This window comes from Homo sapiens, chromosome 4 (genome assembly GCF_000001405.40).
Source record: "Homo sapiens chromosome 4, GRCh38.p14 Primary Assembly".
In the NCBI taxonomy this organism is placed as follows: Eukaryota; Metazoa; Chordata; class Mammalia; order Primates; family Hominidae; genus Homo; species Homo sapiens.
The window spans coordinates 114,861,591-114,889,575 of NC_000004.12; the positions used below are offsets into that span (position 1 = coordinate 114,861,591).

A 27,985-nucleotide genomic window follows, 5' to 3' on the forward strand; every position below is an offset into this window, starting at 1 on the left:
TCCACAAGATAAGTTTTGCCTCACACAGTCAGATCACTAGACTTCTGGCATCTGTGAGTTACTTTGTAGAGAAATAGCTTGGAGTATCTTTAGCCAACTTGAGGATATAGATTGCCCTACTAGATTACCTGAAGACCATTATATAATCCTAATTTAACACATTTCTGTGTATACTTGCTGCCTGGTTCCTGCAACTCATAAAGCCAATAGTTTCAGCACCGCTTACCATTCAGATCTCAACACAAATGTCAACCCATGCAAGTGGCCTTCCCTGATGATGATAGTCAAAGCTTCTTCCCACTCTTGTCTCTTTCTGAGTTTCCTGTCATATTTTCTTAATTACATGTCAGTACCTAAAATTATTTTCTTTGTGTGTATGTTTGTAATGTTTATATATATAAGTATAGTTATAGTTAATAGTAATTCTATGTCAACTAGAATGTAAGTTCTCTGAAGGTGAGGTCTCTGTCTTCTTTATTGCTACAACCCAATACTTAAGAAATGCTGAATAAATATTTGTAGAATGACTTAGGACAGGCACAGTAAACATTTAGCAATCGGCATAGACTAATTTGGATATATGTTTGAAAACAAACATAATGTTAATTGTATAGACATTTAGCATCTAAAACTCCTACAACACACCATACATAATCCCCAATGCTGTCTTTCATGGCAGTCCCAGAAGCTAGTTAATGAGTACACCATCACTTTAGAACTTAAACATTATTTCTCTCATATTATCATATAACTATTTATAAAGAACTTCATTTCTGTACTGCATTTTTAGATACAAAGCAATAGGAAGGCAGTTCTCAACCTATACTTATTGAATTTCCCCACACATAACCCAGCAGAGCAAATCTCAGAGTAGATGTTCACTTCATTTGCTCAAATGAAGATATCTTTATGCTTAGCAAAGGTAGAAGAGTAGACTAATTGATAATTCATTGCCACTGTTGAATGTCAAAGTCTTATTTGTGAGCTCGTTCTTGGTTCTGTATGTTCAACTCGGCCACTTATCTTCTTTATTGCAGTGCACATGTCTTTGGCATTCTAATTTCTGCTTGCAAAACTGGTGAAATAAAATGTTCACAGAAATAAGCAGATTTAATATAAGACTTGAAAAGAGTTGTCGTTGTCTCCAACACAGAGAGAATATGGATAAGCATGCTTTTTGGGGGAAGAGGATGACACTAGTTAATATTTATTTATACTTTCCCAGAATGTTGGGATGCTAAGCTGTTACAATACTTGCTGTTCCAAATATTTTTATTACTAACAACTTAATTTACATTATTTCAGGTATTCCTATCGGTATGTTCCTCAATATAGGCAGATTGTCTTTTTTTGTAACTGCAATCCTTTTATATTATGCTATTTTAGGGATTTCCAGATGCCCATTTCTGTTTTCACCTCTTTTCCTGGCAAGTTTTCCCTTTAGCCTGTTAATCAAAACTTTATTAACGGATGTTTGTATTTTCTATTTTATATTCTGAACATGTTTGTTCAGACTTTTCCTACTCTGACTTTTCTTATACTGTATGAAAATCTGAATACCAGCAAACATAATGTCTAACTTTTATTGATCACCTTCTATATTCCAGGTACTTGATTGATGTAGATTATTTCTAAGCTTCAAAGCAACCTGGCAAGACAGATATTATTATCCCTTCTTGATAGCTGAGAAAGCTGAGATGCAAGGTGTTTTATTTAGGCCCTGCTGAAGGTCACACAGCAAGGTAGTTTCAGATTTAGAATCCAAATCTGGCGTTCTCTCTGCAGTTAAATTATGTGCGTGTGTGCATGCGCACATGTGCATGTGAAGTTTTTTGACAATGATTATGAAGGGTAAAGGATCTTCCCTCCAAAAAAGCTAAGCATTTAATTGCACTTTCTTACTTTGTTCTGTTTCTATTGTTTTAATTTTTAAGTCAGAAAATTAGAAAGCAATTATTTCCCTTTTCATTCTCCAATCTTATTGTTCCCTGCATAACTGAAACTGCAACAGATATTTACTGGTTTAAGTATCTAGCACTATAGATATATTTAAACTTTGAAAAAGGAATTCAGTTAAAATTGCTTTAGGCAGTTTATGGCTACAGTGCCAGTCTAGTGAAAGTACATGTAACTCAGCTGTCACACAGGTACAGGTGATGCACATGGTTTGTATTTGTGGAATATATGAGGCAAATTTACTTTTAAGTAAACATAAACAAAGCAGGCAGAAGATTTCCTGAAGCAATGAACAAGACTTAGAAAGGGCAGTAAAATCTGATGAAATTATGTTCCTTGCAAGGGCAGAAGCACCCTTGGATATTTCCCTCCAAATAAGTAAAAATTGCAAATTCGCAATCAAGCTAAAAAGAACATAGATTGAAAGAATATCATACCATTTACCTTATTATAATTCCATATTTTTATAGGATGCATTAAAATAACTTTTGTTCTTATTATATCTAGTTATTCAAAGTCTACATTGCCTTTTTGCTACTAAAATTTTGCTTTGCTCACTATTCTCCACATCCTTCACTGGCAAGGACACCATGGAATTATCAATTCAAGATTGATGATCCTCATCCAGGTCACGTGCCTATTCTAGATAACTAGGACATTTCTAGACCTTAATAGTTGAAACTTTAAAAATGCCCAGTGCTCATGATAGAAGGATTATTTTACTAATTACAAACATTTCAGAGGCCATTGGTTTGCTTTTCATTTCCCTTTTGGTATTCCCCTGACGGTTTAAAGAAGAATGCTATAAAAGGCATCTTTTAAAACACATTTTTCCTTTCCAATTGGCCTGTGTTGTTTCTTAATTTTTTCTGCTTATTGAGTCTTGCTCTGTGTATGTCTTTAAAATGCCCTTTCCAAGTTGTATTGTACAGGGTGGTGACTTTCAAGTTTTGTCTCTCAATGTCATTTAAGCCTAATACAATCCATGTACACTGATGAGGAAGTTTAATAGATTAAGGGTGTTTATTCTCAGTGCTCCAATCAACAAATCTTTATGGAAAAACTGAGAGACATCTTTATGAAGGCTTGAACTCTCCTTGTTCCCCATGTAAAATCCATGCAGTCCCTCAACTTCTTGGGAAAGTGTTCCTCGTGTGAGTACACTGATCCATAATAAATGCACTCACTACAGAACTCCTGTAGCACTTAATAGACTGATTTGTCAAACTTTGCTACAAAGTACCCTGAATTTCAAAGGTTTATAATGCCAACCTCTGGGGGTAGGACTGGATGGAAAGGAGCCCATGGTTCTGTGTCTGTCTGGGGTGACAGCTTCAAGAGTACTGCTTTAGACACAAAATGTTTCTAATTTACCCTAAATGTCTATCTATTCTTCACCATATTATACTCATGTTTATTTAAGTAAGTTAATACTACTGGTATTTTCCCATGAGGTAGTCTCATAGTAAAACTGACCCCAAGAGAAGGTGGCATATTTACTTTGTAGCGCTATCATTTTTTTTTCTTTTTTTTTTTGAGACGGAGTCTCACTCCATCACCCAGGCTGGAGTGCAGTGGCACAATCTCGGCTCACTGCAACCTCTGCCTCCTGGAGTCAAGTGATTCTCCTGCCTCAGCCTCCCAAGTAGCCGGGACTGCAGGCACACACCACCATGCCTGGCTAATTTTTGTATTTTTAGTAGAGACGGGATTTCACCATATTGGCCAGGCTAGTCTCAAACTGCTGACTTTGTGATCTGCCTGCCTCGGCCTCCCAAAGTGCCGGGATTATAGGAGTGAGCCACTGCACCCAGCCAGCTCTATTTTTAAACTAATGACTGTGTACTTTTGAACATAGTCCCTTATGTTATTATTTGTGTTTTAATGAATATCCTGGCAGGGAAAAGAAAGCCAACTCAATAAAATGAACTGTATTTTTAAACTCTTATGAATCAGTTGTTCTAATACAGTATTATGCACTCATATATGACATTGAACTTATCAAATGTTTCTGTAAGGCACAAACAAAAAATTCAGTTTCCTTTTTCATTATTATACTTGGATTAAATGCTCAAATATATTTTATGATGATTTTAATTTAGAAAGTATTGCCACTTTATTTTATTTTCAAGGGAGCTATCTGCAAGTAATTTTTTTTATGACTGAACCTCAATAAGTGGTTTGTGTGGGGAATTTGACCCTTGACAAGAACATGTTTGCAACTGATTAACAGGGAAAACAATCCAAGACTTAAGTCATCATTTTTGGATGTCAGAATGACTGACAGCCTCATATAATCAAAATGTTGCTTCAGTGTAAATTAAAGAATCAAAATCATGAGAAATTATTGCCATATTTGGTGGAGGAGATATTCCTGAAAGGTATATAACATACTATCGCTAAGTTAGGAGGAGAAAGATAACATGGCAAAATATAAATTTAAATTTTGATTAGGAAAAAATATTTAAGATAATAATGAAATCTGTCCTCTCTCATCTGTGATATGATAAAAACTATACTGACTTAATTTCACTGAAAAGACTAAAAGATGAAAGAATTAAAGTGAAAAGTGCTATTACAGAACTCCTATTTCCCCAGCAATGGGGGTAATTAGTCACAGATCACTCTTTCGTTATTCTCAGTCTCACTCACTCCTACTTCGAAGGTCTTGCTTTTCACAACCATGAAGCTCTTCTGGGCTTCCCTCTCTCATAGGTAGATTATTTTCCTATCTTCAGCACCTCCCTATTCTTACCTGTCCTGAGTAAAGGCTTCTGGTGTACTCTTCATTGACCAACATTTTTTTAAGTCACTTCACTCTCAACTTCAGAGCCTATAGCTTGTTGTTCCTAATTGCCTATCAAATTCAAATTACAGTGGCAGCATTCAAAGCTTCCCGCACTGACTTGTACCTGCTTCTATAGGTTACTTACCATTACATCACTATTTACTATCTGAGAAACAGATGTGCCACTTTTCTTGTTCTTTGTACACACAGCCCTCTGCTTTTGGTTATTCTTTAATGATATTTTGAAGAGAGTGGCTATTGTACTATGCTAGGTTCCAGGGTGCAAATATGAACCAAACAAAGTCTCATTCTTTAAGGTTTGCAGGAATCAGTATATGACAAGCATAAGTGTCTGCAATTCTGTGTGGTAAGTGCAGTAATATAATTATAAATAAGTTGTAGGGTGGTAAAAAGAGAAATAAATATGAAGACAAATTTGTAACACTATTTTGTTCACATAACAAGCAGTTATTGTGGCTTATAAGTTCCATGAAGGCAAGAATTTTCTTTTGATTATGTAAGTACTTCAAAAGCATAGGTTGAATAAATTCACACTGAACATACTGTCAGATCCTTCTAAAGTGAGGAGTTACCCCTGAAATTTCATTTGATGTAGAGTTGATGATAATAGTATACTTGCTTTTTTAATTGTAAAACCACCATCTTGTGGTTGAAATCACCCTTGAGGAGGAGTAAGAAAACCTAGGGCTTTAGTCCTGACTTGTTCCTAATAAGCCATGTGACTTAGAACAAGGCATTTCACTACACTGAGTGTCATCCATTTTCTCTCTACAATGAATAGGTTGAGCTAGATGTCCCTAATTTCTTATTCTGCTCTTACAATCTTTAATTCTCTGTGTCAGTATTCCTTCATTCCTTCAACAGACACATACTAATAGAATCTACAGTGTGTATGCCACTAGATCTTAAGATTTGTTTATGTCACAGCTATTCAAATTTCATCATTTCTAAACTGGGGCTGGATGTCTTGACAGCTGGAATCAGCAAAGGGATTAACCACCTAAGGTTAGTGCTCTGTGGTTTATTTTCCCACTTCTTTAACCCTGGAGACGTTGGCATGGGGAGAGAAACTTCAGCTCTTTGAGCATTCTCCTAGTCACACAGAAAAGCAGGAATCCACATCATGTTTGGCATGTTTGTTGATAGTGAGACTCTGGAGTGACTGAGTGAAGACTGGAACTGAGCTAAGCTGACAGTTTGAGAGCTTAAAAGCATCGATTAGCTCATGTGTAAGAATCTGACCTTCTAACTTCCTCCATATTGTGGTTTTGGTTCCCATAATGAGAATTATAAAAAAAAAAAAAAAAAGCAAAAAAAAAAAAAAAAAGAAAGAAAAGAAACCCTATTCTTTTACACTGTGTAGTGATTATTCTACCAAAATAATAAAGGACATGAATTAATGTACACGAGTGAGTACAATTTTAAGAGTCTTACACACTAAGGACTAAACTGACAAGGATACAGTCTGGGGATTGCATTTCATATGTGTCCTCAGTACACATTCCCATGTTAATCACCTGTGAAAGAATCAATTTCCAGTGAGAGATGAGCACAAATGCGTTTTGTGCTCTACTTATCAGGGTACCCATTGACAGATATTCATATTGCAGTTTTTAATTAGGTGACAAAGCAGCTTCACATACATGGTAGTTGGTGCTAATGAAACTTTACATGAGGAACCAAAGGAAATTAAATAGATGTGAATATTATCATTTTTCACTTTTTCTTTTATTTGTGGTAACAAGAATGTGTGAATTGAAAATCTAAAGAAAAATAATAGTTGACTTAGTTTTAAACATGAAATATACTGAATAAGAAGTCACACTTGTAAATACAAAAGAGTACTTTAATATTTTATTTTGACACTTTGTAACAATAACAGAAACACACCATGTTTATCTATTCTAACTCTCTAGCATTGTGATGAATGGGCCATAAAAAACCTACCAAGTAACGCTGGTTTTTTAAATAAAACTAAGTTCATATTTTATAGAGAAAAGGGTGACAATGCTTACCATTTTAAAATGTGTTATTATAGATATGAATATGAAAAGAAGAGATAACCACCAGGGAAGTGAACTAGTATTATGCACTTTATTGTTACTTCACAACTTGAAGACTTTTGGACATGATGTGTTTGGCAAAGTTCATCAGATTTGCTGCAGTAAGTCAACTTTTGTCAAAATCTCATGTATCTGAATAATTCTCCCTTTAACTTAACTACTCTATTTTCTATTCCTTGTTTTTCTTCTTAAATATATTTGAGAATATATGATATTTAGTTAACAAAAATGTTTGCAACTTTAAAATTTCAGTGAAAAGTAACCATATAAATAATATAATTTCATAATAGCAAAGGGAGTCTTTCAGTAGGAAAACATTTACTCATGTATCATTTAAGTACTCTTACAGAAAACTATATTTTGATAATGTATATGAAAATTCCTAAACTTATATAAACAACAGCAATGATGAAAATTTGTAAACTCTATGTTATCTTTTCTGAGTTATTCTCTCTCTTATGATGAACTTCCTAGGAACTTACCCCTATGATATTATGCAAAATTAAAATTATCAGCACTTGCAAATTATATATATATATATATATATATTTCTTATATCTTCCAAGAATGATGTAATTTCTTACAGAATAATCCCATATTTTAATTTCTAATTTCCATTTATACCCCTAATCCACCAGCACTGTATTCTATATTTAACAAACATTCAATCAATACTTAGAATCATCATGTTGCCCAAATCATATTGGAGCTGGCATATCTTTGATTATATTTATTTTTTAAGAAAAGTGTCACTGATATCCAAACATATTAATAAATACAATTCTTTATCTTAAAAATTTCAAATAATATCAAGAAATTTAGTTCATCATTAAAAAAAAGTTTTTCCTTTTTTCTACAGATAGAGGAAGAGTAGCGCTGGAGGCCATTGAAGGATTCTTTCTATGTAAGCTGTCTAAAATCTTTGTTAATTTGTCTGATTTTTATTATTACTGTGCCATAAATATTATAGATATATTTTATATAAACATTTGTGACAAAAGAATTGATTTACCATCAATAATTTATCAATTTTATAAAAGTATGTGAGATCTTTTGAATAATCACCATTTGTGGGACACTTGCTTTGTCTTTATACAATTGTATTTTGTGTGTTGATATATGCGCATAATACTTATGCTTCTATCTATTTACCTGTCTTTCTAAATTACATATCAAATGGTAGATGGTCAAGTAACTTATTGGGATGGTAAATAGAATGTAGTTCAGTGTAAACACAAACGGTAAAAAGCTGCTTAATAAATCATCAGAATATAATATGACATGTAGCAGTCAGTTTTAAAACACATTTTTGAAATGTATGTTAGTGAATAATGAGAAATCTCTCCACTGGCTTTGAGAAAAAATTTATTTTGTTCTTTGCATGCCCTAGAACATCTAGCCTTACCTTACACATAACAGATGGACAATGAACATGTGTTGGATGTATTTCTGACAATGTAGACAGAGTGGCATGTAATATGATTTATGGAATAAAGAGAAACAAACAGTCTTGACCAGAGGGAGAGAGGATGACAAAAAGTCTGTTTCACAGTAATTTCTCATTAATGGTGATGCTACTTTCTCAGCCGACTGCTTGGCAGGGGACTATCTGATCTGCTCTCTGCAGCCAGCCTATTGATTTTGTGGGTCGATGTAATCTGATGCATAAAGAGGCAAGAAAATGGGAGGCAACATTTGCCTAGATAACTGCCAAGAAGCAGATAGTTTACATTTGATGCATCCAGGCTAAGTGGCCCCACATGAAGTTGAATTATTAGTAAAGCAATCCTAACACTGACAATTCTCTTTTTCAGTAGGTCTAATATTAGTGAAAGATCTGTTAGATTTAAAGAAAAGTGAAGATATGCTTGAGAGGTTAACTCTATATGGATACAAGGTGAAAATTGCTTTTCCTTTCTTATATACACAATGTTGCACATATACATATCAAAGTCTAATTATAAATCTTAGATTCCAGTGGCTCTAGGTTTTTATTTCCCTAGATATCTACTGTCTAACCATTTTACTGCTAGTTAGTGCTCACACTGCATGCAAGTTAAAATGATTAGCTTGGAGAAGACACCAACAATAAAACAACATCTTCAAAGCAAAAATGTTAAACCAACCAAGCAACCAACCAAACAAAAACCCAGAAAAGCAAGCAAAAAATGCAAACAATTCATAAAATAAGCAAAAATTGTTGAGGAAGAGGATAAAAGTATTGTATAAAAGAGGATTTTGTGTTAAATTCCAGTTTTAATATGTCCAGCAGAGTGCCTAACACAAATTATACACTCACAAATTGCTAGTTTCTTTCCTTCCACCCCAAGAGAGAATGTTAAATGTTACCTGCCATAGAGGGTCTTTCTGCTCAGGGAAGAGCTCAAAATACTGGTGGGCCAGTTGCACTGGAGGCAGAGTTTGCAATTTCAGGTTGGTCCAGCTCTGCACAAAGTTGACCAAGTTCACAAAGGTATATAACCCTAGGCGGTCATTTCCATAGTTTGATAAATGGGTCATGAAAATGCTGATCTGAAAGATAAATAAAAATGACCACAAAAATATCATATGCTTAAGCTTAAAAGTAGCAGTACAAGCCCCAGGCAGCACCTCACCTCACCTTGGAATTTCACAAGAAGTACAATGATCTTTTTAAGTGGAAAGCCACACATTTAATTTTCATCTCAAAATAACACTTAAACTCACTTTTAAAATTGAAATTGAAATTGAGAGTGTCATTTCCTCACTGTTCTTCAGAAGTATAGCATTACTTTGCATATCAGTTTTGCTTATTGTGGAGCCAATACCATCAAACTTCAATCTAGTAACTTTCAGACTAGTGAAGAACCAATATTAGACCAGTTCTAAAATTAAACAATTTTTCCAGAACTTTCCTGGTGTAGATATGTGTACAGGTTGAAATAGAATCAGATTCAAGAAAACGTGTTTCTTTGTGGTCTAATTAAACGAATTTTATTTCAGTAGAGACTGTAAATGTTTGCACAGAAACTGATTGCATTTAGCCAGAAACTTTTCCCCACTCATTAATCCTTTTACAACTTTTCATACCCCAATATTAACTCTAAAAATATCATGGCATTTCAGTGTTGTTCTTTTGTGTATCACAGACAAAGAAAAAGTGAAATTAGATTAATTGGTATGGAAAGAGCAAGCAAAAATTCAAATGTTATTACAAACATAATCTAATATTTAGTTCATTAGGCATTGCAGCAGGGATTTAAAAAATACTAAATAAAAGAGAAATTGCAAAATTCTGATTGAAATTGCAGAGATTGTTTACGCAACTCATAAAAAGAGAGTTCATTACTTTGTGACAAGTATAATTTTGTACTTGTTTCTCAATTTCATGATATTTTCAAATTTAATTGTCTTAAAAATTCATTTTACTATTTACTGTATTGATCTGTATTGTAAATGTTTTATAACAACCCAAATATTATAATGAAATAATTTATTAACTTTATTAGAAATGTAAGGCTAATATAAGGTTATAAATAATAATATTAGAACAAATGTAACATCTGAAGCTGAACAGAAGAATAATATAGAAGAAAAGTCAAGTGTCTCATGGCTAATATTTGTATGGAAACTCGCTGACACTTTTTTAAGGGTTTATGTTTCTTGGTGTGGTTATTTGGAAATAAAATAGGTTTGCAGAACTATTCCAATGTTAATTTTATTGACACCTGGTTAGATACTAGCCATGCAATAAAGACTATATGCAGACCTTCTGTTCCCATGATCTAATATGTCACTGGATAACTATAAATGTCTAAAGAGGAGGCCTTTTATCTTAAAAAATAATAGAAGCATTATCTTGTACCAGAATTTAGAAAATCTGCTCTGGCAAGCCACTGTAAGTTAAAACCCCACTATAGGTTAAAAACATCTAAACATTAGTTGATAAAATGGTTTTACTTGAGATTCATATGGAATCATTTAAACAAACACAGGCATATACGTCACTGGCCAATGTTACGCTGACCAATCTGATAGATATCAGTTCGTTGTTTGAATGCCCTTTTTATTGTGGAAAAGATAGTCTCTATTATGTGTCATACTAGAATACTGAAAAAAATATCTGAAGAAAACCTATTAAAATGATCAAAGTCACACCTCATCATGGTTGAAGGTAGAGAAGAGAATGTGGCTTTAATGTCTCTAACTTAGATAAAATCTTACCTAAAATTCATATAGTGTTTGCTTACTATGTACTAAGCAGGATTCTAAGCCCTTTACATATATGAAATAATTAAATCCTCTCAATGCTGTTACAGATAACTACTGTTATTGTCCCCTTTTACAGATGAAAAAAAATGAAGCACAGAGCAGTTAAGTAACTTGTTCAAGTTCTACATCTAGTCAGTGGCAGAGCAGGACTTTAAAACCAGGCAGTCAGATTCCCAATTCTGACATATAATATAACTGAAACCTTCGCCAAAACATATATATACATTGAGTTTGACATCCGTCATTTTTTTTCCTTTTGCCCTTTTCAACAACAACAAAAAAGCAAGACAAAGAACATATTTTTATAGAAGGTAGTAGAAAACTATATAAGTATTATCCTGGCAGCTGAAAGTTTTTATTTTTCTTTTTAAATTGGAATGAAAAAAGAAAAAAATATTTTGGAAACCTTAAATGAAAGCTTTTAAGACAATGAATTATAGCATCTGAGAAGAATATTACTAATAGACTGCAAATTTATCTTTGAAGACAATATCACTCATCATATTTCTAGTCCATTTTTTATCCTTGGAGTATATTCAAATCTTTTATTTGAAACATCAAAAAAGACTATAGATATTTTAAAAATATTATTTATTTGATTTACCTAGGTAGAAATTTAAGTTAAACCCCTTAAATTTAAGTTAAACCACTTAATCTCTTTAAAGTTAAACCTCTAAATATTAGTTGACAATGATTTTAATTGAGATTCATATGGAATCTCAAGTAAAATTTAAATCATTTAAAAATTTAAATTATTTAAAAATTTTAAATTATTCCATATGAAGCTCAAGTAAAATCATTATATCAACTAATATTTAGGGGTTTAACTTAAATTTCTACCTAGATACATTATATAAACATAACACTGTCCAATGTCCCAATCTCTCACTCTTGAATTCTTTTATCTCAAATAGAAAGTTCCCTCTTGGCAGGACTTAGTTACAGAGTTTCTGTAACATAGCATGGTATCAGTAGTTGATGACCATATAATTGCAATTATTGTCATAAGAACTTCTTTATAATCACCACAAAATAATATGCATTCGATCCCAATAAGTATGCATTTATCTCATGTCACTACTGTAATTAAGAAATAAGACGGTGTAAGTAGCATGCTTCAGGATAATTATGGTTTTCCAGGACTGAAAATAGTATGAAAAACCAGGCTGCAGGCTAAATGCCTGAAGAAAGATAATAATGTCCTAGAAATCTACCACCTGCCTTCTTAGCGTTGTTATTTTAAGAAGGAATTGTAAATTTGTATTGTGCTAAAGTACACATAAAATGTACCATCTTCATCATTTCTAAGTATGCAGTTCTGTGGCATTAAGTGCATTCACATTGTTGTATAACCAGCATCACTATTCATCTCCAGAACTTTTCATCATAACAATATTTTTTATTTTGAATAAAATCATGCAGATATTATTGAAAAAAAAGAAGGAATTGTAAGACACCTGTGAGAGTCTAAAGTCTGACAAAATTGTAAGTAAGAATATTACTTTGAGAGTATCATAAAGAGTATTTTTATATCATAAGCAGATGTATATTATCATTTTATAAGGGTATTAATATAGGCTTTTAAAAGATTTTCGCAGCAGACTGGTTCTAAGTCATTTTTCCAGAACATTCTTAGGAGGATAAGCTTTGTTTGATGGAAAAAAAAGCTTAAAACTGAATGCAGGGCAAATGGAAAATCTGTCTTTTGAAGAAAGCAGAGTCTGGAGATATGTGGTTCTAAGCTGAGGCATGCTGCTGCATTTAAATTTTCCTTTACTGAGAATAAAAACAAGCACGCCATCCATATTGGTTGCAATCACTGTTGTATGGGGCAACATGTGCACATGCCTTACTGGTTAGAAACAAATTAGTGCTGGTATATGGTCAATTGGTTGCACTTTAAGAAAAACAATTCTGCAAGCACAGCTTAACTGTGCATATCTGGCTTGCTAAAATCACCTATTGTGCAGACACAGCATTTTAGTTTTAGCATTTCTGGGCAAATGGCTTCTTTAAACAAACAAATAAAACCTATTTCAGAGAGTATAGGTGTATAAGACAAATTAAAAATGGATGTTGTTGAGGTATAAATAAGAGAATTCAAAAGATATGTGGTATGAGATAGCAGCAAATAATTTTTCACAGACTTATGTTGCTACTATTTTTTACTGTTTATCTTTTTTTATATATTTATTTTGATTATTATTTTCTTATTGCATACTAAAAATAATCTTTCTCAACAGTGTACTCCCAAAAGTATCATCTGGGGAAAGTATGACAGTACTACATGGATAAAAATGGTTTATATATACAACCCACTGAACCTTGAAATATTGCAGCTCAGAGATATGCATTGATTCAAACAAGCAGAGCTTTATCTTTCATATGAAAAGGACAGGAAAGGAAATCTTGTTCAATGGATGAATTGAAGAATAAGATGTTCAGTATGTGCTAATTTCAGTAGGCCAATTGCAGCAGGCCTTCCAAGAGGGCACCAAGGTCTGGGTGCCACTGCTTCTGGCATCAAGCACTCTGGGCTGCCTTTATCTTGTTGTTGGCACTTCTACCTATGTTTCTCCCTCAACTCTCAAGGCTCTCAACTTCATTATAACCAAACATAAAACAAGTCTAAACTTTCTTATCTGTTGTAAAAATATACAAGCAAGCTTATGGGCACGTTCATAGTCTATTCATTAGAAACATAAGCAGTTTTTCATTAACCTGATTGTCAGATACAATACATATACTCAAAATATGGGAAGACATTATCTATGGAATAAATCTGTTTAATGATGTATCTAAAGTTCAAGGAAAAAGGAAGGTTTATGTATCAAAATGTATAAATCTTGATAATAGGGAATTGAGTAAATATAATTGAACTTTATGGATAATCCTTAACTGTGGGTAAACACACTGTCATAGTGACAAATAGAATGGTGGTAAATAAATTAGGCAACTGCTTATCCCCCTGAGTATTTAATTGCAAATTATACAATTAATTGTTTTTTGTAACATTTTGTGTTTGACTTATGAAGCTGCTAATATCCAAAATATAAGAAGAGAAGAAAAAAGGAAAGAACAAAATAAAAGTGAGAGGCCTTATTTTATCCACAAAATAAAGCATTACTCTCCAGGTTGAGTCAGAGTGTTTTCACTGCCAAGTCCAGAATAGTTTCCTTGCTTTTCCTACTTGTATGACAAATAGAATGGTATTGTAAACTGTATGATCATGAATATCAGTAGCCAGAATATATTATACAGCATTTTTAAATTGAAATTAAAAATCATTTTTAGAGCATACATTTTTAGTTAAAGTACACATTGAATATTTGGGTACTTAGTCCTGTGCCTTACAGTGCCTTTAAAAGTCAAATCATGTGCAGAATAGTCAGATATTTGGTTCCTAGGAAAAAAATGCACAATCACAAACACAGGATGAAACAACGTCTTTGCAGAGCAAGAAGAGAGCCACCCTGTTTTAGGGCAGCTTGCTTTGTGCTCACGCTGCAGCACAGTATTTTTCAAGATAGGCATTAAATATTAGCAGTCGGTTTCCATTTTTGCCTTTGTGGCTCTGATAGCGTGCCCCTTTTCAGAATAGTTCATTGTGTTTAAAAATATGTCCATTAGCTTGTTAAATTATTGATTATGCTTTTAGTTCTCATAAAATGTGAAGATAGATGGAATATAGGGAAATACATCCCTGATGGCTCATCTGATGGGCTTTGGCATTGTACTCACATTTTTCTTATAAAAGGTAATTTTGTGTCTTTATTTTATTCTAAAAATAGTCTGGAACCACACAAGGGATATTAAGAGTCAGACTAGGCTTAACATTACTAATATGAGTGCCAGTAACACTTCTTGATTTAAACACACATAACTATTGATAATAATTGTAGGCAACCCAGTCTTAGGCAACTCTTCAGGCCTGGACAACTAATAACCTGGTAAATGTCAACATCTATGTTCTTAGATATCAAAAGTAAGGAAAGTTTGTCCAAACCTAATATAACTATATTAATCTTTTGCTCAATCTAAAAATGGTTCTCAGCTTGGAGTCTACTATTTAGATACATCATTTTGTTTTTCTAAAAGTGAAACATTCCAATGAATCATTAATTAATGATTGATTGTAACATATTATTTGTTGAATGTTAATGTTAATTTACTTATATAACTTTACAAAGTGGTTTTATGTGCACTTTTGTTGTGTTACTAGGAACTAAGAAACTATCTTATTTATGAGAAAAGGAAATGAGGATCAAGGGTTTCAGGTGACTGTCTGAGTTTATATAGGGAATTCTAGCAAATCCAGCATTCAAAGTAGTCAACAAGCGGATTGCACGCTTAATGATTTGTTAAGAGAGTAGTTCCTATATTAAGTGTTATTAACACACACACACACACACACACACGCGTGCACGCGCGCAAGCCTGGGCATAGGAATTCAGAATCAATATTCTTTCTTATTCCATGGTTCTCCCAGAACTTTGGCTACAAATTCATCAAACTTCCGTCTATTTTCTGCTTCATTTTATTCTATTATTTTATTTACCTGGTGAATTTTATTTATAACAACCCTATATTGCAACTTACGATATTTCCTCATAAGCTTTTCCTAGAATGGATTAAATCTAAAATATCACTTACATATTTTTACTTTTTTGGAAATGAAAATAAAATTTGATATTTCAATATGTATATCTATGCACACACATGCATGTCAGCTGATTACTGACTCTAGACACTTTAAGATAATAAGTACTTAAGAGAGAAATGATTGTTTCACTTGGAAAGATTTTAATTCTCTTGCAGCACTAAAAATAGATGCCAAGTTTTTCACAATGGAACACAATAATAGATTTCCACTAAGAAATGTGTTCTATAAATAAAAAGTAACTCTGATCTTCCAATTTCAAAGAGACACATTTTATTAATTTAGGTAGATGTTTCAAGATTTATTCCTGTAAGAACTACACTTAGAAGGAGAAATAGGCCGGGCGCAATGGTTCACGCCTGTAATCCCAGCACTTTGGGAGGCTGGGCGGGCAGATCACCCGAAGTAAGGAGTTTGAGACCAGCCTGGCCAAACCTGTGAAACCCCATCTCTACTACAAATACAAAAAGTAGCCGGGCCTGGTGACTAGCTCCTGCCTGTATTCCCAGCTACTCAGGAGGCTGAGGCAGAAGAATTGCTTCAACGCTGGAGGCAGAGTTTGCAGTGAGCTGAGATCATGCCACTGCATTACAGCCAAAAAATGAGAAGTAAGAGAAAGAGGAGAGGAAAAAAAAAATAAAGAAGGAAAGAAAATGGAAGAAATAAAGAAAGAAAGGAAGAAGAGAAAAGAAAGAGAAAAAAGAAATGAAAGGAAAAAGGAAAGGAGAAAAAGAAACAAAGAAAAGCTCCAGAATCAAACACATCTCACCATGTGTAGGTCAGATGAGTAGTAAAAAGGTTAGGCTACTAAAAATTGTTTCGCTCATGTCTTTAAATCTCCACTTACAGTAAACTTCAGTTATTGATCTTTCCACTCAGGCTACTTCCCTAAGCACAGGAGCTCTATTGCTCCATGTGACTTTCAGGTTTCATATAAGATGTGCATCACCACAAGCATTTATAATTAATCACTAATCCTAGTTGATGTTTTAACATCCCATACCCTTGACTGTTAAAAGGAAATCTTTTTTTGGATGTGTGAAGAACTAAGTTTTTGGTTATTAATTTGGAGCAGGCTTCATGAAGAAAATAATAGTAATTAAAGAGTTAACAAATAAAAAAAGGGTATCGATTAAAATATCCCAGAAGTTTGTATTTAATAAGTCTGAAAATATTTAAAAAATCAGATTGCTATAATATTCATATTGTTTTGATTTGCACACAATGGAGCAATACAAACATGAAATTTGAAATTAGAATGCCTACGCTTGAGCACTGGCTCTTCATTAGTGTATCAATTAACTTCTCTGAATCTCAGAGATCTCTAAGGCTAAATGAAAACAATAATTTAGTTTATAGGTTTGTTGTGATGCCCAAATGAGTCGAGGTATGCCAAAACATTTTATAAAATGAAAAACATTGTATATTATCACCATGGATATTCAGTTAAAATAAATTTAGAATAATTAATATATCAAATATAATTTAACTTATTTTATTTATATCTAATAGATCATATCTTTTGTAAGCAAAGCCAGTGTTTCTTTGTTCCTCTGCTATCGTCTGTATATACCAAGGCCTATGATAATATAATTTCTGGTTAAACCAGTAAATTTTGGATACGTGTATACCAGAGTGAAAATGACTAACTTTGATACCTAATAAATGAAACTCTTTTGTAGTCTTTACGTTATTTTTAGGTTTTATTTTATTTTTAATTGATAAATAATAATTGTATATATTTATGAAGTACAACGTGAAGTTTTGATACATCATTGTGGAATGATCAAATCAGGCTAATTAGCATATCCATTACCTCAAATATTTACCTTTCTTTGTGATGAGTACATTTAAAATCTTCTTTTAGCTACTTTGAAATATACAATACATTATTATTCGCTATAGTCCCCAGGCTGTGCAATAGGAAACTAAAACTTAATCCTAATAAATGCAAGTTTTATCCATCAGAATCACCTCTGACAGCTGCAGTTAAAAATCAATATAGGAAGAGATTGTTAAATGGAATCCTTTGTTTCATTTTCAAAAGTTCAATTAGTAGATTTGAGAAGCAGACATCACTCAAGGGTAGTATGATGAGGTGATGTCTTGTTTTTCCCCTCCTCTACACACCTAAATCAAAGAGCACCCCCATCCCTCTTCCCCATTCCCTTGCCCTTCAGGCCACTCACTACCTGACATATTATGTATTTGTTTGGGTATTTCCTGGCTATTCCCTCAGTCTCACATTACATTTTAATCTCCTTGAATACAGGGACTCTGGTGCTGTTGTTTACTGCTGTATCTTCAATGAGTAGTAAAATACCTGGCACATAATAGGTATGCAAAAAATATTTATTGAATGAACAAATAAATCCTTGATAACATACACTTCTTTGCCAGTAGAAAATATGGAGTAATTTAATTGCCTTCCAATTATTCCCCAAGGTCTGAAAACACAAGGGGAAAAACAAAACACTATCCTAAAACCCTGAAAACAGCTGGCATTTAACAGGATACAATGAATTGTTAAATTACATTTTTTATTTGTGTTTCCCTTTCCATTATCAGACTAAATGCAACTGAAGTTCCATTCTGCATCTGATTATTTACCAGTGTCCCAGTTTTTCAGTCATAATATTTGGTTAGTGCATTATTAACAAATCAAAACTGTTTTGATTCAAGACTGGCTAGAGTGTAAACACCGACCTTCCTCAATAGAGAAGTTGGGCAGTGACTTCGTCAAAGCAGCAGTAAATAGGGCAGCTGTTCTAACTGAGAACAGAAGGCTCCTGCTATATTTCAGTGAGCAGGTGCTTTACTCTCTATTTTTCTTGTACATTAATAAAGGCTTAGTCATTAAAAGGCAACACATGCTCACAACCGTACAGTTGTTGCATATATTTGTGTTTTGTTTTCTTTTAGTAGGCAAGTCAGAACTGGGATTTTAGATGTCATGGCAATTACATTTTAGAATACCCTGATTTTCAACAAAGATCTCCCAATTTTACATGATGGGAGACAACCAGAGCTGCTTTCAATCTGAGTTATTTACCATTACTCTTTTTAAGAGATTAAATCTCCCTTTCAACCATGTTGCAATGATGCCACATAAAAGTCACTGAAGTGCAAATTCATAACCCCAGGAATAATCATGGGCAGTTCAGCCATGGGGAGGAGAAAACATGTCCATTAGTAATCAGTGTAAGCTTCACTGACAACCTCAAATAGAGTTCAACAGTTTTCAATGAAGAAAATAATGTCACATTTAGTTATTCAAGCAATCAACCAATTGAGAAACATTTATTAATGCTTAATAAGTGCCTGGCAGTCTATTAGAAACTAGAGATATAATACTAAATAAATTATCCATAGTTTTTGCCTAAAGATGCTTAGGGTTAAATGGGAACATAAAAAAGAGAACAGCAGATTATGATACAATGTGAAATGGAAATTCTGTTGTTCTATAATATCACACAGCTGCTTGGGGCAGGGTACTGATCTAAGACTTGCAGATGTCTTCTTGAAAGAGAAACATGGGAACTAAGTTCTGAAGGATGAGTAGAGAATCTTCACGTGAGACAATGGGTTGGAGTAGGAGCGGGGCTGAGATTACGTGTTAAGACAGAACGCATAGTGAAAAGCAATTGGTAACACAGTGCCTTCTAGAAACTAAAAGTTATACAATGTGGTTCATGAAAGGAAAAGAAAGAGACCAGCTCATATAAATCTTTTAAACTGTTGAGGGCTTGGACTTTAATCCTAAGAGCCATAAGGAACCATTGAAGGATTTTGAGTAGGGAGGGATCATAGTCAGATATGCATTTTACAAATTCTTAGATCCTGAGTGTCTTATGAAGAAGAGTGAAGACTGGAGGTGGGGAGTCATTTAGAAGGTTGCTGTAGGTGTATGATTGAGAGGTGATGACTACTTGAACAGTGACAATGGGAAAGGAGAGAAATTAAATAGATTCAAAATATGTTAAGATATTGAATCTCTAATGATCTGTGTTTGATTTGACGTCAGGGATGGAAAAAAAGGAAGGATCGAAGGTATACTCAGGTTTCTGGCTTAGGTGACTGGATAGATACTGGAGCAATTTCACCTAAATAGAGAACAATAAAGGGATGAATGAAACACAAGACTGAGAGGAACAGAAACCTCAAAATAGTGACTATCAGGAACCACACAGCGAGCTAACAAGAGAGTATAGAAGCATGCTGTGGCTGCTCTGAGGGTCCAGGTGAGCCCATATAAATTTATACAGCCTCTAATCTGCATGCTCTTCTCCAGCAGTACACCAATGAGAAGCCAGTTATAGGTCTGGAGGGAGAGGACAGCTGAATTCTTCTAGCCTTGAGTATTTGCCAAATAAATAGAATGAAAGTGCAGTGGCATAAGAGACATGTTTGTAATGATTGGAAGATAGGAATTGAAATGATTTCCCATCGTGTTTTCTCTAAATTAGTAACAGCTTCAATCTTCTAAAATAGATTTTTATAATATTTTAAACAACTCACTTTATGGCTACATGTAAATCATACTAAAATATGTTTACATATTGAAGTGTACATTTTAAAGTTTCTATCAAAGTGCATTAGGAAGCATTGACAATTATTTAGATATATTTTTTTTAAATACTACAGAACTCATATACTCTCTACTCCCTCAAATGTCAAGGGAGTATTCTGATAAGTGACAACAGTGAAGAAAGGGATATGCAGTGTGTTGTTTTAAAAGAAGAAAAAAAGGATCAAAATTTTCTCACACATGTTTACTCTCTTCCCTCTCCTACTAATTATTTAGAAGGATTTTTTTTTTTTTTTAGTTTTTAGTTTTCCTCTGGATCAAACTTAGCTTTTCATGACAAAACACATGAATTTCATGTGGGTCAGGGTGACACTAGGGAAAGTATCTTCACTGGAGTTATTTTGCAAACAAGAAGATTCCCCTCAAAGCAAGAAATCTCAAAGAGTAAGAGGCTTTATGACATGTGGGCCTTAAGGGGGCAAAAGGAGTTGAATATACTTCTGCAATAGGATATGGGTAGAAAACATCACTGCTATATTCCTGAAGAACCACATAGGCCTCCCTGAGAAGTGCAGCATTTGAATTCTGGCCACACTGGACACATACTTAGTGAGCTGGTGTTAACTACTCAGTCAGTTATTTACAAATAGATTCAACATGGCCAGGCAACAAATTAGTGAGCTTGAAGAGAGGTAAAGAGAAACTTCCCAAACTAAAGTACAAAGAGAAAAAAAATAATGAGGAAGAGAAATAAGCATGCAAGAACTGAGGGGCAATATCAAAAGTTGTAATATATCTGTAATGCCAGAATAGGAAAAAAGAGAGTGGTGCAGAAGAAAATTTAAAGTAATGACAGCTGAAATATTCTAAAATTAATGACATAAAGCATATCACAAATCTAGGAAGCTCAGGGAACATCAAGCAGGATAAGTACCAAACAAACATACAGAAACAAACAAATAAACAAACAAAAACACACCTAGAAAGCCAGAGGAAAAAGAAACATTACCTATTGACACACAAGGATAAGAATTACATGGAATTTTTCATATGAAACCATGCAAGCAAGAAGAGAGTGGAATAAAATATTCAAAATGTTAAAAGTTAAAAACTACCAATCTGGGATTCTATATCCAACAAAGTTATCATTCAAAAGTGAATGAGAAATAAACACTCACAGAAAAACAAAAAACAGGAATTTCTTTGTCAGTGGACTTGCCTTGAAAAAAGAAAAGTCAGATGAAGTTTTTTAGGCAGAGAAAAATGATATAGTTCAAAAACTTAAATCAACATAAAGAAAATGTGTTTAAATGAATAAATAAAGGTAAAATTAAATTTTTTATTTTTAATTAATCTAAAAGATAACTGTATACAGCAATAAAAGTAATGCATTGGGTGAGTATAGCATTCAAGTAAGTGAAATGATTAACAGAAATGTCATAAGAAATAACAAGGAAGCATTGGGGATACTGAGTTATAAGGGACCTGCACTACAGCACTACCTGGGAAATAGTATACTGTTATTTTAAAGTTGTCTATGTTAGTTTAAAATGTATATTGTCAACTCTGGGCAATCACTAAAAAAGTTAAAAGAATATATAATTGATGTGCTAAAAGAAGAGATAAAATGGAATTCTATGCAATGTTCAATTAAAACCTGAAATGTCAAAAAAGAAAGAGCAGAGAGCAAATGCAAAAAGTAGAAAACAGTTACAACTGGTATAAATAATTCAACCATATCAATAATCACTTTAATCATAAACTGTCTAAATACACAAATTAAGAAAACAAAAACAAGACCCAGATATTTGTTGTCTATAACAGTGGTCCCCAACTTTTTTGACACCAAGGACCAGGAAGACAATTTTGACAATTTTTTCATGGAAGGCTAGAGTAGGGGGAAGTAGGGAATGGTTTCGGATGAATCTGTTTCACCGTAGATAATCAGCAGGCTTTAGATTCTCGTAAGGAGCCTGCAACCTAGATCCCTTGCATGCGCAGTTCACAATAGGGTTCATGTTCCTATGAGAATCTAATGCCACCGCTGATCTGACAGAGGCATATTTCAGGTTGTAATGCTAGCTTGCCCTCTGCTCATCTACAGAGTTGGGGACCCCTGGTCTACAAGACACTCCCTACAAAATAAAGACTCATATGAAATAGAAGTCAAGAGATAGAGAAAGTCATGCCATGCTCACACTGACCAAAAGAATGCCAGAATGCTTATATTAATTTTAGAAAAGCCCACTTATAATGAGAAAGATTATTATGATAATGAATACATATGCTGCCCAGAGCTGACGCTGGACTTTGCACACTCACACATATGCTCACACACACATAAGTACACTCACATATTGAACTTAAACACACTCACTTGCACACTTATTCACACATGCATGTGTGCTCACATATCAACTCCAAGCTGCTGGGGAGGCAGGAAGAGGTAGTCAGAATTGGGAGGAGAAGAAAAAACTTTATTTGGGTTTATAATTGCAGTTTTTAACTTGAAACATCTATAATCTTCTTACAACTGAAAACTGCTAGTGAATTCTAAATTCTGGCTAAGGTTATCTTACAAAATTCCCTTACTTTAGAGGAAGTAGGTTTCAATGTAGCACATGTGAGAGTTCTCAACAAACATATAACCATACATGTTCTGATAGTAGTTCTTTAAGTCTCTACAGTGATGTGGTACCTTTAAAAATATTTTGTCTAAACACCTCAACAGACATAATGTTTATGTCTACATTAAAGCTTGTTTTAAGAAAAGTTACATCAATATTTTCTTATAATGTTGGCTTGAATTAACTTTTCAGAAATATTAATTTCTCATTTGAAAACGCATTTTTTGCCTTTATTGCCTTTTAGTGAAGAAGTCATAGAAAGCATATGAATGGTTCTCCAGCTTATGCTAAATGAAGCATGTTAGAATAAATCATTTTTTGAAATATCGTGATTGACACTATCAAAATACGTAAGATGATGTTTAAAAATAGAGCTATTAAATTTTTGATTAAAGTAAACCAGGCAGCTAAACTGAATTTGGTTTGGAGGCCGACTCTATTGTGAGATAGTAAGCTCAGAGTGGTTTTGCAGTTTATACATAAGATGATCTGAGAAACTAAAATTGTTTTCTTCTGTATTTCACCATTTTCCCTCCTGTCTGCCTTTTTCCTCTTTTCTACTCTCTTGTATGCTGATATAAATTGGGGTTTTGCTAGTCTCAGACTTTTTATTATACTAGCAAAATGTTCTATAATTTCCAAGCTGTCAAAATCTGATCTGCATGCCAACAGGCTATATTTTTAAATACATGAATAACATTGTGAACAAAAACATTCCTGTCAACTGTCCATTTCCCAGTACTAAAACATCTCCATCCTTGGTTATCTGTCACACAAGTTCTTTGAGATTTGAGTGTTGAACATGTGTCACATGCTGACAGTCTACCATTACAGATTATAGTCTGCTATTATAGATTAAAAAGCATTGTCCATTCATTGCTGCTGGATCTCCTAGAACATTTGGACATGGTAACTCAACAAACAGCTGCAGTAACAAAGAATTGCTGAAACCTAGATTTTGTGTTGACAGAGCATTAATTTTAATAATGACAAATTGTCTCAGAATTCAATGCTTTTTATAATATATTCATGACCCTTCTGGTCCTGAAACAAAGTAATTTGTGTGCCTGAAAATTGTTTCTGTGCCTTAATTTGGTATCCTTATAGATTTCTTGTATTTTTATGTCAGTTTATTTGACAAAAAGTTAAATGTTTTCTTTGTAATATTTTTTCAATGAAAGGTCATACAGGCAACATATGAATGGATTTTTTTCTTTCTCTTCTGTATTCCCATAGGATTTTGAGCATGGATTTCTGATACTGCTTACTGTATTTTAATTAATTAATTATTTCTTCCACTAGCTGTGAGCATATCTGGATCTGGAATAAATTTTATACACATTTCAATAAATTTTATACATCTTTATCTTGGGCTCTGTATAGTTTCTAGTAAAACCAGAGCAGGAACCACAAACTCAGTTGCATGTAAGGGACAAGCAATCAAGTTATAACTGAGCAGGTAAAGCCTATGAATTAAAAAAATACAAAATACAGGTACACATTTCTAGAAAGACCACATTCATATTTGAGACAATAGAGAGTGGTGGTGTCAATACTGAACTAGGGAGGTCACCTTTTGCTCTCTACTCTCCAACAGAAAGTTATGCTATATTTCAAAAGACTTCAAGTAAATTTTTCTAATATATTTATAATTTTTAAATGGTGAACAATATATTTGCCAAAGAAAACGTGCCTGTTAAGTGAATTCAGGTCATTGGCAGACAGTTTTTCAAACTTTAAAGAAAGTATTTGAAAAATATAAGAATGGTTAGCTGCAGGGCATCACTGTCTTACGTGGTAGAAAAAGTCAAGAAGTGCTGAGATATGTCGCTGTCCTACTTCTTCATTCTTGGAATCTAATGGAACTGAGTGTACTTCAAATACTTCAAAGTATAGAGGTAATCCTTGAATTTATTGAGGAACTCTTTAGACGGAGGCAGAAAACACTTTCCGGTAGCTGTTTATTGTTCATCTGCAAGTTATTCATTATTTTGTGTGGAAATATCAAATTGCCAATTAATGATGATGAGAAATAAGTATTTATGACATAGCAATCACGTTTTAAAGCTAATATAACAAAAAAGTTTGTGTGCCACCAAGTATTTTCTAATTTGTGAAATACTATAAACATTAAAAAAAGTTCTGTTTACAGTTTGTGGTTTTGCTCATTACCATGTAGTTTTTGATAGATGGGAAAATTTGTTTCTCTTATTCTTAGATACTATATGTTGCTTTATTCAATAAGAAAATAAGGAATAAATAATGAAGAAGTGATGGAGAGAAAAAAAATCCAGCAAGTACATGATGCTGGGTTATTCTGGTCTCCTAATCTCCTAGTCTGCTTGTTGGAAAATAACAAAACGAATTTTTGAATACTTTTGTGAGAGTAGAGAAGTCTTAGCTTTATGAATTGCTTGCAAACAAAGGAACTCACAGGAGAGCAGAGAAAAGTGAAAAAGATAAGACAGAGTTATGCCATTTAGTGAATATGTGGAATTATCTAGCAGATATACCTATGTAGTTTCTTTTTACGAGGTACATAATGGCCACTAATCCATTGTGAATTACACTTTGGCTTTCACATTGTGAAAACAACAATGCAGCAACAAAAGAGGCTAATGTGAAATCCAATATTCCTCAATGTGCTAAAGATTTATTCTTAAGGAATCTGAATTCAAAATCAGGTTTTAAATTAGAGAAATTAGATTATTTATAAAGACCTTTAAGAATATCTGGGTCTAATGTGAGACATTTTGGAAAGTGGCAGCAAACTCTTTGTTTAGTGTAAAAATTGATAGACTTCAGAAAGAAAACATGATTTTTTTGTGATACAGAAAGAAATCAGATAAATAGAAATTAGCACACCTGTGACTTTTGAATCTGAATTATATTAAGAATCAAGCAAGTGAAGATTATAATGCTGAAGAAGAGTTCAGGGCTTAAGTGTCAGAACTGTTTAAGAGGATGTCTGCCTGGTCATACATCTATAAGTTTCAGTGCTGAGTTTTTGATTAACAAGGATAAACTGACATTCAGCTGCAGCTACACAGAAGAGGCTATGTGATTAAAACTTATAAGCATTGATGTCTGCTTGCTGGCACAAAAGCAAACAGACATCCATACAAGGATCCACTTAATAATTATTCTATGAAATCCCAAACTATCTAGCTTAAAGTAATTTGGCATTTAAAATCCTTTAAATGTTAGTTAATACATCTGCTCATCTGGAGCACATTCAATTTATTTATTAAAATAGAGTTTGCTTTCCCCATGCAACTTAACTTTTTCACCCTTTAGACTACTGGTAAGCAGGAGAAGGGGACATTTACTCACCAATTTTCCACTTTGTTGTCACTAGATAATTTCAGGTTTTTCTTCACTGTCTTTAATGATAGATAAAAGGAGATAGATTCTTCTTATCAAATTAGTTGTCCTAATAGGCCTTATAATTTTTGCATTTAAATATTGATACCTTTGAGATGCTAAGGTGTGAGGATCACTTGAGGTCAGGAGTCTGAGACCAGCCTGGCCAACTTGGCGAAACCCTGACTCTACTAAAAATACAAAAAACTAGCTGGGTGTGGTGGCACAGGCCTGCAATCCCAGCTACTCAGGAGGCTGAGGCAGGAGAATCACTTGAACCTAGGGGCAGAGGTTGCAATGAGCCGAGATGGTGCCACTGCACCCCAGCTTGGTGGCAGAAGGAGACTCTATCTCAAAATAAATAAATAAATAATTTAATTTAATTAAAATATATATATATATTTATTGATACCTTGCCTTTGTGCATTTCTTCAAGAACTCATCTTAGAATGTAACTAAACCTTACTACAAGTGATAAAATTCCAGGGAGAAATGATACACCTGAGAAGTATAAACAGTTTAGTTTCAACCTGCTCATTCAGCATGGCTCAAGCTTAAAGGCATTTATTTACCTGGTTACTGATGAAAAGGACAAGTGAAGTTTAAAAATGTCAATTCGCTAGCACTCCCAAAGTAGCTCTTATATGCTAGTCTTTGCGACTGCCTTATAATGCTCATTTAACGAATGAACTGGTAAAGAAGTTAAAACTCAGAGAAATTGCATAACTTAGAGTAACGCATCAGGCTTACAACACAGGAGTTTGAGATTCCAAAGCTCAGGTTCTTAACCATAGTTCTAAGTACACTGCATCATTTTTTAATTTCTCCTTGTTAATCCATAAGTTATTTCTTATACTTGATACAAATTTTATCCCACCTCTTTAATTTTGTTGTCTTTGTCACTGCTTGCATCAGTTCAATGAGTAGCCCATGACTCTGGCCATAAGAAATACGGTATCAGCATTTCTTCGGTTGAGACCATGGGATCCTACAATAGGTAGTGGATTTTAATCACATAGTCATTCTCATTTTTTTTCTTATTTCACTTTTTTGATGTTTTGGGAATCAGAACACTAATATATTTGCATTTTATCTTTACTTTCCCTTATTTCTTCTTATTTTTTTAAAGGTTATTTCTACCTCCAGGTTCTCATCCATACATCCCTGCCAGCTATCAGTTCCTCACACATATATGTAGCAACACTAGATATTATCATGCTTTCTCAAATGACTACTTCCTTGATGGTATAAAATATACACATATGTATTTCCAAACCAAATTTTTATATTTTACAAAAGCACATGTGTTTGAGCAAAAGAAAAGCTGCCTACTTTGCTACCAAGTTAAATACTTAATTCATAATTCTGTTTTTGGAAAACAGGGATATTCTTTCAGACTGCCTTCCCAAGATACGTGTGAATTGTTCATTTTAGTGCATTTTACATTTAGTGGATTTTGATCCCACTTACTCTAGACAGGTGATGAATATACAAATTATATAACTGGTTATTGCTTATCAAATATTAAAGAGATGTCAAACGAAGAAGTGGAGAGTAGACTGAAGATGACCTTGAAGAATATATTAAGTAAAGTAATCAGAAGACCATGATCATAAAGTCTGTGCTGAACATGAACACTTTGGCGGAGATAATAAAACTTGTGTTCACATTAGGTAATAAAGTGTTTGAGGTTAAGCCATATTTGGAACAAAGCACAAAACTTTGATT

The 27,985-nt window shown here is 33.5% G+C and overlaps 1 protein-coding gene across 3 annotated transcripts in view; it reads right to left on the reverse strand.

Annotated features, from left to right (window-relative positions):
* The window catches only part of NDST4 (N-deacetylase and N-sulfotransferase 4), a 285,858-nt gene that overhangs the window by 33,828 nt on the left and 224,045 nt on the right, over positions 1 to 27,985 (reverse strand). For all 3 annotated transcript variants that reach the window (XM_017008545.3, NM_022569.3, XM_017008546.2), the window contains one exon: positions 9,178 to 9,360. In XM_017008545.3, coding sequence (XP_016864034.1) covers positions 9,178 to 9,360 — 183 coding nt within the window. The remainder of the gene's footprint in view (positions 1 to 9,177; positions 9,361 to 27,985) is intronic.